The sequence below is a fragment of the Homo sapiens genome, chromosome 8, assembly GCF_000001405.40.
Source record: "Homo sapiens chromosome 8, GRCh38.p14 Primary Assembly".
Classification (NCBI taxonomy): Eukaryota; Metazoa; Chordata; class Mammalia; order Primates; family Hominidae; genus Homo; species Homo sapiens.
Genome location: NC_000008.11, coordinates 109122414 through 109136727, shown reverse-complemented (window position 1 = coordinate 109136727; position 14314 = coordinate 109122414). Strand labels below are relative to the sequence as shown.

At 36.2% G+C, this 14314-nt stretch overlaps 1 annotated feature.

Moving 5' to 3' along the window:
* Positions 4141-4341: a silencer, noted in NCBI's record as "peak7149 fragment used in MPRA reporter construct". NCBI's record gives its function as "represses an SCP1 promoter by STARR-seq MPRAs in K562 erythroleukemia cells {active_cell/tissue: K562}" and the evidence as "EXISTENCE:reporter gene assay evidence [ECO:0000049][PMID:32103011]".

Below are 14314 nucleotides of genomic sequence, written 5' to 3'. Positions count from 1 at the left end.
GCACAGCAAAAGAAATAATCAGCAGATTAAACAGACAATCCACAGAGTGGAAGAAAATCTTCACAAACTATGCATTTGGCAAAGGACTAATATCCAGAATCTACAAGAAACTCAAACAAATCAGCAAGAAAAAAAAAGTAATCCCATCAAAAGGGGGGTAAGGACATGAGTAGACAATTCTCAAAAGGAGATATACAAATGGCCAACAAACATATGAAAAAATGCTCAACATCACTAATTATCAGGCAAATGCAAATCAAAATCACAATGTGATACCACCTTACTCCTGCAAGAATGACCATAATTAAAAAATGAAAAAATAACAGATGTTAACATGGATGTGGTAAGAAGGGAACACTTTTACACTGCTGATAGGAATGTAAGCTAGTAAACCACTATGGAAAACGGTGTGGAAATTCCTTAGAAACTAAAAGTAGATCTACCATTTGATCTAGCAATCCCACTACTAGGTATCTACCCAGAGGAAAATAAGTCATTATATGAAAAAGACATTTGCACATGCATGTTTATAGCAGCACAATTCACAATTGCAAAAATACTGAACCAGCCCAAATGCCCGTCAATCAATGAGTGGATAAAGAAAATGTGGGGTGTGTGTGTGTGTATGTATGTATGTGTATATGTATATGTATATACCACAGAATTCTACTCAGCCATGAAAAATGAATGAAATAATGGCATTCACTGTAACCTGGATGGGGTTGGAGACCATTAAGTAACTCAGGAATGGAAAACCAAACATTGTATGTTCTCACTTATAAGTGGGAGCTAAACTCTGAGGACACAAAGGCATAAGCATGATACAATGGACTTTGGAGACTTGAGGGGAGTGTGGTAGGGGGATGAGGGATAAAAGACTACACATTGGGTACAGTGTACAGTGTACACAGCTTGGGTGATGCATGCACCAAAATCTCAGAAATCATTACTAAAGAACTTATCCATGTAACCAAACACTACCTGTTCCCCAAAAACTATTGAATTTTTTTTAAAGCAGTAGCTATGGAGTCATTCAGAACTGGTTCAATTGGTGCATATGCTGGAGCTGGCCAGTCCTAAATTGAAAGGGCAGATGGCATGCATGTCTTTCATATTCTGCTTCATCTAAATTCTACACTTGGATTCCCAAGGACTATTGTCTTAGTTAAGTCAATGTTTCCGAGTGCACAACCACTGTATCCCAAAGGGGTGGTTCCAGAGAATTTCCAAAATCAGCTGCATGCATTGTTAGAACCAGCCTTTCCACATACGCTCTTAGGCTGTGTTCTTAAGACTGGGTCAAAAGCCTAGACAGCTACCTTTTTGTCAAGGTAAATTTATTTCAGGTGCCCTGTTCCTATTTTTTGCCAATGAAACCTGACCGGAGCAATTCCAGAAAGCCCCATCAGACTTTCTTCCTAAGTTCTTCTTTCAGGCAACAGTGTTGAGGCTGTGTTCCTTTGACTTTCAGAAGTTCTCTGGGTTCCCAAGTAACTCTTCTGAGATCATGACCTGCTCAAGTTACAAAAGATTTTGGTTTCCTACACCTCAACAACCAAAAGGGCTACTCAAGTGAGTCTTGGCTTGATAAAAATAAAGGGGTTTAAAAATTTCTATACAAATAATGCAAGTTGAAATTACATGTGCATGTATATAAAATCAGAATATTACACAAATGCTGCTTTATATCTTAAGTACTACTACTATATAATTTTAATGATCCCATAATATTCCATCTATAGAATTATAATTAATCTTCTAATGTTGAATTTTTAGATTATTTCTAATTGCTATCTATTATAAATATTTCCTCACAATGAACACCAGAGCCATAAGTTTAAATGCTCCTAATTGTATCTTTAAAGACGTCTTTAATCTGAAAGACTGAACTCAAGGAAATCTAGAACATTGCAAAATAAATTTGAAGATTGGTTTGGAATATGTCACCAAGTCTAACAGGGAAATTGTGAGCTAGAACCATGCAACTATTCCTCTTTGTTGCAAACAATACCCAAGTAAGGGGCCCTAATTCCTCTTCCTTGGCTGTTCATTTGCCCCTGGTATGTTGGGTTCCATTTGCCTCTCAAATCCCCCTTTTCAGCCTTTAGTTCCTCCTCCATGCTTTCCCAAAGGTGACTCTTGACCAAGACCTTCCCCATTTCTGCCAGGTAGGCATGGGGCATTTCTGAGAGCCCAGTTCAGTGTCTCTCTGCTTCTTTCTCAGCCTTTTAGAACTTCCAGTTTACACCAGCCCTGATTTCTGGAGAAGCACAAAGAGGTGAACACAGAGAAATTTGTAAATGTTCCTAGTAGGGTAGGAGTTAAGAGCCAGGATCAAGAGCAGCGTTAAGGTCAGGGAGCTGACAGTCCACTTTCACAGTATAGATCCCACACCTTTCCTAGGTACCTTCCAGCTGTGACAGTTTATTTCCTATCTCTGACTCAGGCTATGTTTCAGCACCTGCACCTGGGCTGCACATTTCATTTATTTTTATCTTCGGTTTGCAAGTGTACAGGCTCCTATGTTTTACTGAGATCAATTGGCTTCTGACCCTATTCCTCCTTCTAACCCTCCTCAGATCTCCTGAAGACCCAGGAGCCTCTTCTGGTCTCTGACTGTCTTAGTAATGAAGAGGCTGTGGTGTTGCTCAGTCATTTATTCAGTCATTCATATTCATAGAAAAGCATAAAAACAATTTTCTTAATTACAGTACTTGATGCTGCGATGTGTCTCCCAATTTTCTGTGTGCGGTTTTCTCTGTGTAACAGGCACTCTGCATGAATTTGACACCTTTAATTGCTGGAGAAATTTCTCCAGGAGAGGTAATACACAAAGAGGGAAATAAGCTTCCAGGATTCCATTTAAAGAATGTTACTTGACTCTGGTCTTACTGGGTTCAGGAAGCCTGGCTGAGCTGCTGCTTTTTGATTTGCATGTACAAACCAAGATTAAACTTCTGGTTTGCATTCTTCATTTGCTTATGAAAGTTCTGTTTATTTACCTGCAGGTGGAGATTTAGACGTTACTCTCTCTTGAGATCACTGTGAAAGGAGAGAATGAATAATTTGATGGTCTCTAAAACATGGAGAGAGGCTGCAGCCTTTCACCACAAAATTGAATTTTGTGAATCCATCAGTTAACGGCTATGGAAAGTGGAGTGTGGACTCTGTGGCTTCCCTCCAAATGCACTAAAAAAAAAAAAAAAAAAAAGAAAAAAAGAAAAAAGTCAGTAGGTCTAGGTTTGTTGGGTAGAATGCTTTGTAATCTCAGTCCAGTCTACAGGATTTCAAAATAACAGCTGGAAGGCAGAATAAAGACCAGTGAATATGTTTGCTTTTAGGATCTTAACAGTTAAATCTCCCTGTTTGATTTCAAAATTCCACCTCAGCTTTATCAGATATTAGTTGGCCACACTAAGTAGATTATTTTTCTTTTTAGTCATTTATAGTCTAATGACAGCCAAATATGTTTTGTTTCATTCTGGCTCTGCCCCTCACTCATGTCATCTGAATGCTTGAGGCTGTTGCTGATTGAAAGACATTCTGAAGCCATAAGTGATATCTGATGTTAGTTGGTGTTAGTACTTCTTGTTTGGGTAGGGTTGAACTCAGATTTGAAGTAAGCTAGGGATCCCTTGAGTTTTTCTTTTCTTTGACATTTACTCTTCTTCTATGTTCCAAAAAGAAGAAGGAAATTAGCATATCTACTTTGTTTCTCAAACAGCCTGTTTTCAATACAATTGTAATTTTCACTGAATCGACACTGCAATTCAGTCTGCTGTTCTGGAGAGCCAGTGCCTGCTATTTACCTTTGCGAGTTGACTTATATTGGGGGGAAGATATGCTAGAGATGGAAGTTTTTTGTGATTGAGTGCCTGAGAGCAGAGGTGGAGGAGGCAGAAGACAGGGTGGACCCGGGCTGGATTTGATCTTCTAGCAAGAGAGCATTTGCAGTGGAAACTGACAGCCTATTTTCATGAGTCATTCTTATACACAGTGAAAAAGCAGTGACATTGGAACCAAGGTTATGGCAAAAGATGATATGATGTAGGAGATAGGGGATATTTACATGGAGCAGGGAAATAAGTGCAGTTCTTTATGACAATGGAAATTTTTGCAACTTTTGAAGTCAGAAGAGATGATTCCTTGGGTAAAGCTGCATTATCATGAGGGGAACCAGAAGCCATGGCAGCAAGAAGTGCTATCCTTTTGTGGCTTTGAGTCAAAAAGGAGGCTGAGGTTGAAGAACAAGATAAGCCCTGAGCAGTGTGATACCCACCCTGCAGGAAATATCTGAAGGGGAGGCTGAGGTTCTCTGTTTTAGGTAGGGAGGTTAGCCACCCAGTGAAATTGCATGTTAACCTTAATGTGACTTAGTTTATGCCCATAGGCTGGTGAAGTCCAGGGGAATACAAACTACATTTCCTCCTGTTTCACACCGTAAAAATATGTATTTGGGACTTCAGATTTCAATTCACTTGAAAACAGAGGCATTACATTTTGCCTTAGGGCACTTTGCATTAATGCCAAATTATTGGCAGAGATCACTCTTTTTGCTGCATTTCCATTATTTCAGCACATTTGCATCTGATGACTTTTTCTAAAATCTGATGAGATAAACTTTTCTATTTGTTTTGTGTTGTTTCAGAAATGGAAGCTTGCAGAATGTGAAATCCTACTGTGGTAATAAAAAACAAATGCAGAAATTGCTTCTGGCAGATGATAGTGTGTGGAATGAGTTAGTTGCCTTTTTTTAGCAAGAGGGGTGAGAGTGGAAGATGAGGGATGTCTGAAAGGCAACTTATGAACTTGTGGAAGTTTCGATGAGACTTCTAGAAAGTGAACTTGTAGTGAGAATAGTAGGAGGAAAAAGTGTGCCAAGAGTAACCCTAAAAACATTTTTAAAGAGCATTTAAGTCATTGTTTAGCAACTTAAATATTCAAATAATATCTGCTTATCTGTCTGGCTGGGTTGATCTATTTCTCTATCTCTCTATCTATCTGTTCATCAATGTATCCATTAATCCTCCTTAAATATATAAAGTCAATCTTTAATTGAATAAAGATCTTTACTTCAATCTGCAATAACAGATATAGAGAAAGTGTAGCTTTATGTTTATGTGTTTTTAATGTTAAAAATTATAGATTTAAGTTCTGACATATATTGCTTTTTTTGATCAAAACAGTGGCAAATTGAATAAGCTTTTAGAATCTTTTCTGGGAAATATTCCCTGTTTAGGAAAATATTGCTTGATTAAAGCATGAAGAATCTCTATTAATAAGCCCACTTTGTCCCTCCCTGATGTTTTAGTACCATGTTTTAAATAACGCTCTGTGAAGGATCAGAAAGAGAATGAATAGGAAGAAAATAATGGTAGAGAAGGAGGTAGAGAAGAAGAAAGAGAAAGATGATGAGAAAGATCAGAAGACATTTTAAAGCTGCCTTGAGGCCATCATGGTAAATAAGCTTGTAGCTCCTGTGACATTTTGATGCAGCAGCTTGTCCCAGAGGTTTTGGAGCAGGCACTTTTGACTCAGTCTAAGAAAAGAAAATTACTAAATGATTGGTATATTTTATTATCAAGAAATGTTTGAAACAAATATTCTCACCCTCGTCTTTAAGTTTTACTTCTTTGAGTTGTGTGTTGGGTATGAGGTGTAGGGGTTGAGATGGTTTGGAAGAGGAGAATAAAACTCAAGGCTGAGAAGAGGAAGAGAGGGCCATTACATATCACCTCTATACAAAGCACATAAAACCAAGACAGAAATGCTTACTAATTTTACATTCTCAGAAGGCACAGTCAATTGTTTTAAGCACAGACACTGTTTAGTCTTGGAGAATTCCCTGGAATTATAAATGGTCTCCATCTGACTACTTATTTATTGCCTTCAGTTGATTATGTGTTTGACATTTTCCCTATTGGACTGAATTCTTTCTCTGCTTCCACAGATAGATGACCATCACCTCAATACTTTCTTCTTAGTGTCTGCTTCATGTAGGCAGCAGTTTTGATGCTAGGTCCCAAACCCTCTAGCTCTTCTATTTGACTATATCATGTCAATCATAATCCATGGCAATATTAAATTTTGATAAAAATCCCAAATATATGCAACTGACATAAGAAATTAAAGAACGGTATTTTATACTGTTATAATTATAGAATGATTATTTTATAATCATCTTCATTGCCATTTCTGATCAGCAAGCAGAAGGGCATCATGAGATATAGCCTAGATGATCAATAAGTAATGGCAAACTCAGCAACAACCCAATTTGCCCAAGTTGTAGTTTGCCACCTGGCCATGGAAATCAGTGTTTTCACATCCTTCATATGTTGGCATTAAAACAATGTGTTCAATATGCCAAGCAAAGGGACAGATTCTTTCAATTGTCTCAGATCCTTCTGGTGGCCAATTGCATTCCTCCCTAAGAAAATGACTGATTGTGAATGAAGTAATGGTACTCACATGAAATATTTAATATTAAACTCTTAAAAACCATTCCCCCAATAAATCTAACCCAGAATGTGCTATTTGGAAGACTTCTCATTGATCTTTTTTAAATTCTATTTTTCTTCTCTTTATCTGTCTGTTGCGGTAATGTCTCAAAATAGTTTTGTACACATCTATCCAACCATGACAAATAGGACTTAGAAGCTAACCAAACAACTATTCTAATTGTTGGTATTATTGCCTATTTTTCAGAGTTTTTTCAGCTCAAGAGTTAGTCTTCCGTAAAAGTTAGAAGTTGTCACAATCATGTCACCTGTCATAATAGCCGAGGGCATGAGACATTTAACATTCAAGGTATGGAGTGTGGGGTAAAAGTTGAAATCCATTTAATCATCAGTGATGGAGTTTCTCTGAGGACAACTTGGCAAAGCCAGAGTCATTAGGAACTGCTAATGAAATGAAATTAGAAACTGCTAATGAAATGGAGTCAATTGGTATCCATTTCATATTGGAAAAGCATAACCAAAGTCATGAGTGGTAGGTAGGTTATATATTTTAGTTGATGAATAAATGTGTGTATGAAGTGAAGAAAGATGTTTGTGTTGACCCTGTGCTTCCTATGATTTATACTTCTGAAAATTCTGTAATTTGGCAATGTGTGTGTGTGTGTGCGTGTGTGTGTGTAGTTTGGAATTGAGATGGACTTTTCTGGCTTATATTGCTACATAAGAAAACATGAAACTGACTGACTCAAGGGATAGTCATTCAAAAAGATCCTTGCAATAAAAGCCCTGCTGCACTCAAATTATGATTTAAGAATTATGAGCATTGTTGGTCATTTTGAAAAGAGAATTTAAATAATTTTGCCATTTGGTTAATTTAAAAAAACTTTAGTGCCAAAATAATCTGGGGCCTTATAGGAGAAATATTCTAGATCAAACTACTTTTCTTTTGGACTTCTATTACCAACATTTACTTATTTAGTAAACATATTCTTTTGGAATAATTTTAGATTTACAGAAAAGTTGCCAAGATACTACTACCATTATTCTAAACCAGAAAAAAAGTTAAGCAAAAAACTGTTATTATTATTATCATGCTTTATATTTTCAGAAAAAATACCTTAGTTTGAAAGTAAGACATAGCCCAGCTAAATTTCTTTCTTTCTTTCTTAATTTCTTCCCTTCCCCTTCCCCTTCCCTTCCCTTCCCGAAAAGTTCTCACTTGGTTGCCCAGACTGGAGTGCAGTGGTGCAATCATGGCTCACTGCAGCCTCAACTTCCTGGGATCAAGCTATTCTCCCACCTCAGCCTCCTGAGTAGCTGGGTGTACAGGCACATGTCACCATACCTGGCAACTTTTTAAATTTTCTGTAGAGATGGGATCTCACTGTGTTGCCCAGGTTGGTCTCAATTTTCTGAGCTAAAGTGATCTTCCAGCCTTTGGTTCCCAAAGTGCTGGGATTACAAGAGTAAGCCACTGCATCTGGCCCTAAATTTCCTTTTTTGAATGAGCATTACCTGACTTTAGATCTATTCTACTCTTGATATTCTATGGTAAACAAGTTTCCAGTTTCTATCTCACTTGTCTGTCTCCACACCATCTTATTCCTTCTCATTACTTTAGCTCAGGCATTTTTTGAATGTCTCCTTTTCTGTCTACTCCACCCCATACCTTCTCTGCCCTTTCATATTTTACTACCATTTAACATTCAGCACATATCTCACTGCCTCCTCAAAGTCTTTTCTTGCTAGCTGCTATGATCTGAAGATTTGTGGCTCCTTACCACCACCAAATTCATATGTTGAAATCTAATTACCAGTGTGCTAGTATTAGGTGGTGTCTTTGGGAGATGATTAAATCTTGAGGATGGGGCCCTCATGAACAGGATTAGTGTCCTTATAAAATAGGCCCAAGGGAGCCCGTTTGGCTCTTCTGCGATGTGAGGACATAACAGGAAAGCACCAGCTATGAACCTAGGAAGCAGCCCTCACCAGACTCCAAATGTACTAGTGCCTTGGACTTGAACTTTCTGGACTCTAGAACTGTGAGACATACATTGCTGTTGTTTATAAGCTACCCTGATCTGATATTTTGTTGTAGCAGGTAACAAAATAAGATACTAGTTTAGACTGGAGTAATTTATCTCTCTCTTCTGAAATTTCATGACCATTATTGTTTATGTTAATGATTGGGGAATTTATCAGGTACTTCCTTTTTTCTTCTCCTGGTGTCTTAGACTGCTAGTTAAACCTTGTACTGTTACCTAAATTTAAAATGTATGTATTTGGTCTCTTCAGCTAGATTGTAAGATTCTTGAGGACAATTCTTATTTCCTCTTTTGTCTTATTGTAGCACTAAGGAAGGTGCCTTGTACCCAGCATTTCTCAATGAGTATTTATGGCTTCAGATATTTGGAATTCCTTTTATTGAGTCTGATTAGTAATTGTTAGGAAATGTTGAGTGCAAACTATGGGCCTTGTATCTTATAACTACTTTTAAATGTAACTTAATTTAATTCTCATAATTCATTCATGAATTAGACGTGTTTCTATCTCTATTTTACAGATGCAATTATTATATTATAAGAGTAAAATACTTATAAATTACACAGGGGAGAATTTGAACAAAGTTAAGTTGAAATAACAAGATCGTTTATGGTTCAGGAGTATAGAGAAACAATTATTTTTTTCTGCAATTCATGAAATTTGTGCTATATTAAAAGTATTTTAACTGACATACATATGCAATGTTACCTCTTCTATAGTTTAGAAAGCAACTTCTGATTGGAAATGCAAATGTTCCCTGACTTTCCATAGTTTGATTCATAATACTTATGATTTTTTGACTTTACTGTGGTATGAAGCAATACAGATTCAGTAGAAACTGTACTTTGGTACAGTATTCAATAAATTACATGATATATTCAGCACTCTTTCATAAACAGGCTTTGTGTTAGATGATTTTGCTTAACTATAAGCTACTGTAAGTGTTCTGAGCATGGTTAATGCAGGCTAGGCTAAGCTACAATGTTCACTAGTTTAGGTGTATTAAATACATCTTCAACCTACAATATTTTCAACTTTGTAAAAGTGAGGAAGTTCAAGTAGTGGGACAAGGAAGGCGGAAAAGTTGGTGAAGGGTATGTGAGTTGGTTTCCAGTATGAAGAATAGGGGCTCAGTAATGCTGAGGACCTTTTGAAGAATCATTTTGAAGATGCCTCAGAAATATTCCATTAGAAGATAAGAGCCTGGAACATTTTTCTATTGGTTTTTATTCCCCACTTTTTGATTGGTGTCCCTAGGGGCATTAACTCCCTTGAAATCCTTGGCTACCTGTGCTTATACTGAGTGATGTAACACAGCTTGGGAGCACTCTGCTACTTTAGTTTGCTGAAGATGGGAGAATGGCAATGTATATGGAATGGTCTACCATAGCTGTCCTGAAATCATGGGACCAAAGAGGAGATGCGGCATGAGGAACCGCAAGTGGCTACTACCCCAGTGGTTTATTTGTATAGCTTTGTCTACGTTATCTCACCTTTTAGAATAAATGTATCAGTAGAATGGGAAGTTAAGTGGAGTGGATGGGATGGACACATTCAATTTATTATTAAAATTAAAATGTCTATTTGTGTATTACTTACCATTATTTCGAAAAACCACCAGTGGTACATGTGAGTGGCACTGAATTAAAATGAATTCTTTGGGGCAAGTGGTTTAAGGTCCAGTCACACCAAAAATGAAATAATTTGGAAGAAAAAGAAAGCTAAAGAGCCAGCTCTTTCAGTTTGATTCTTTATTGCTCACCATACAATATTGGAACAGACACACAGTTTCTCACAGTAAAGCACATAATACTGCACTTTCTTAAAAAAGAGTGTTTGCCCCACAAGGACACAATGTTTAATTCCCAAATGATGAAGTGAGTCAGCATACAACTTTCTAAAGCTGATAGAAGGAAGCCAAAACATTCCAAGACACATCATAAGCAACATGCAAGTCAACAATGTTATCACAGTAGCCTGAAGCTAATCACTACATGTTTCTCAGTTTCATGTTTAATGTTGAAGCTTAGGTTCATGAAGGGCATAGGTCCCTGAGCTAGCTCTGATCTCTATATGTAGCATAATTGGATAAGTCCAGAGTCATTTAGGACCCCTGAATAATATACACATATATAAATATTTTAAATATATGATAATATAATATAGAAAAAAGATAAATATATATACATATATTTTTCACTTGGAAAATTAGGACTATAAGAATACTTTTAGAATTACAACATAAGACAAATAGTATACTGTATTTTCTATAGATGATGAAATTCACAAAGTTTACAAAATAGACATAGCAGATTTATATACACTTCTACTTTATATTCTTGTGAATGAGTGAACATTTCCTCACCAAATATAAGTACAGGTTGGTCCCTTACTTCCTTTGTCAGGTTTTTTGTTTTTGTTTTTTTTTTTTTTTTTTGGACTAGCTGCCTTCCTTAATCAATCCCTGATGAATTGGATTTGCTCTGGATATACATTCTTAATATCAAGAGCCTTGCTTTAAGATTGATTTATGTCTCCTTTCCTTACTCATCTTATTTTTCTCACACGGTTTATCTTTTCTTTAACTATCTAAATGAAATCTATCCTTGAAGGACGTCCTACCTTCTCTACAAAGCCCTCCTTAACGACTCCAAGCCCCATGGAAGCCCCCTTCCCTCTGAAGAACTCAGCTGTTTATAGTCTGAAATCATACAATTTGGCTTCCAATTATGTGTTCTTTTTTTTCTGGCATGTTTCTGTGTTAATATGTTATCACTAAATTGTAATCTCCTTGAAAACAGAAACAATGTTTTAGTCTTCCTTTTTCTCATTATTAAATTGGATGATGGACATGAGAGTACCATTGAAATTGTCATGCATGTTACATACATAAGGGATTGTTCTGACTATCATCTGGCATACTTCATGCAGTGCCTTTCAATGAGCCAGGAAAACTATTTAAAAAATAAAACAAGCACAATGAGTTATCTGATTGTGAAGATAGATCTATAGGCAAATTGGGTATTATCAAAAGTTTAGAATGTATTTCTGAGCTGGGATTGATTTCATTCATTTTACAGATATTTAGGGATATCATCCAATAGATAATAAATAATTAACTAAATAATAGTTTAGATAATTTGTGGAATACAAAGATGAAAAAGACTTACCCTCAAGGATCTTTCCGTTTAGTTGCTTATTAAGAATTATGTGATAAGTAAGAGCCTTGAAGGCTCTATATGAGGGCCTGAGTTCAGTGATTTTCAAGGTGTGCTCAGAAGACTATTGGCATCAAAATCATCTAATAAATGAGAATTTCTTAGGGCAAGACCAAAAGAAAGTGCATTTTAAGATAAGCTCCCAGGTAACTCTTATGTATATGAAAGCAGGAATGTTTTATTATTCTTAGCTAGGAATTAAATATTTGGCCTCCTTACTAGGGCATCTTATGCCATTTCAGGAATATAATGTTCTTACTGACTTCTGAATTCAGATCTCTGGTGAGATGGAGTCTTACTCTGCTGCCTTGTATTTATTTCTGTTTTTATCCAAAGCCTCCATCTTTATCAATATCAGTCCACGGCATTCTTGAGGAAGTTCATACTCTCTCTTTTCTGGAAGTCAGAAAACAGCCACATGCACAATAATTAAGTTCATTATTCTGTGAGGAATGAAATAACCACTTATGGGTGCTGCTTCAGGGCTCAAATACACTGAAAGAGCTCCAGCTGACTCCACTCTTTATCCCACTCTTTCAACTTTTATAATTTACAAAGTACTTTCATTTCCATTATTCCAGTTGAGAGCCTGTAGTATGGACTTAACCCAGATGCTTCTTCATGAGGCCAGGCAGGCAATCAGTGTGAATTCACTGTTTATTGGCCATTAAAACTATCCTTTGTTTCCTTGCTGGATCCATGTTTGAAAATTCTGGACAGTGTACTGTCTTAGCTGTACTACTTCATTTAGCTCTTTTATTTTTCCAGATTTCATTTCCAAAATATGAATTAATAACTTTATATTGGCTTTATCATGAATGTGCTTGGTGTAGAAGAATGTAAATAGACGCGATAACATTGTACACACACATTCATGATCCCTCTTGTCAAAAGAGGTTACAATAGTTGCCCCTTATACACAGTTTGGTTTGGTTTTCTGTGGTGTCAGTTACCTGCAGTCAACCTCTACACAAAAATATTACATGGAAAGTTCCAGAAATAAACAATGTATAAGTTTTAAATTCAGAGGCATTCAGAGTGGCATGATAAAATCTTGTGCCATCCGACCCAAAACGTGAATCCTCTCTTTGTCCACTGTATTCATGCTGTGCACTCTGCCTGCCTGCTGCAAGTCATTTAGTAGCCATCTTGGTTATCAGATCGAGAAAACATAGTATATACAGAGTTTGGTACTACCCACGGTTTCAGGCATCCACTAGGGGTCTTGAAATGGATCACCGGAGGATATGGAGGAGCACTGTATTGGAATATTAGAAGCAGAACCCTGTAGACTTAGTTTATGTCAACATTGTCATCATTTGGTGTTAACCATGTCAGTAACAAAATTGTTCTCTGATGTGAAACTCCTATAAATGAGGTTTGCTGTTGAGTGATGAGATTGTACTTATAGACTGAACATATCGGAAAAATAGTACAGGGTCTTATCTGACCTTATTTTCCTGTGTAATCAGTGAAGAATTAAGTTAACAGATACTTCTCATTAGAGTCCATAAAGTACAATGAGAATATGCAAAATTGATTCTTGTATTAAAAGTCATCTTATGATATTTCAAATGGACCATTAACAATTGCTTCTTTAAATTATATTTCTGATATCTCAGATTTGTATTCTAAATATTGCCAAACAGTTATATCTTCAGGTGATGACATGTTGGTCTTCTTTTTCTTGTAGGATTGTGAGCTTCATAAGAAAGGGGAGAGTTTGTCTGCTGAAACAAATTTCTGCAGCAATTTTGCACATATTGAGTGTTCTTTGATTAGTTTCTGATCGAAACCTCTAAAATGCCAACTTCTCAACTCTGTACATGATTCCTACCATGTCAATGAGGACATAAAGAGAACTCTAATTTAAAGCATCAGTTTTTCTATGTTTAAAAGTGATTTTATGAAAATGAAAGTTTGCAAAACAATGACATATTTTTATAGATAAATATGTTTGAAAGAACATTCGTATTTTTACTTAAGATATTTCATGTCCAGGTTTAGTCTTGAATGAAGTTAGATGAATCTTCCTGCTATGAGGATAGTGATGATTGTGGAGTGATGAGAGTTTGGTGGGGAGAGGGAAGAGAGAGAAAAATACTTATGACCACAGAACTCTGTAAGATTTCTTCATGTGTATTATTCTGAAAGCTTATGTTGACTCAGTCAAATCTTGGTTTTGATGGCTATTTATTGTAGACAGCTAAGGATACATAAGAAATAAATTGCTGGAGATATTCATGTTTGCTTCCCCCTAGGGGAATGAGTGACTTAAAACATTTGAAAACATTTTTTCTTGACTCTGGATCTGACTAGTTCTTCTTAGGTGTACTCTCATTCACATTGAATTTCCCTACTTCATATATAAATATTCCAATCCCTGTTTTAATTGCAATTGAGAAGTAAAGATGATATTAAATATAATATTTATAGAATTTATACATTGACAGGTTAACCACATAAAATCTTTTCCTTCTGAAAGTTAATATTTTCTCTTTATCATGTTTACAGGTTTAACATAGTTTAGAATGATATAAATTCTTTTATTCTTGAAGAGCCAACCAAAACTATGTTGACCCAACTTTTACTAAG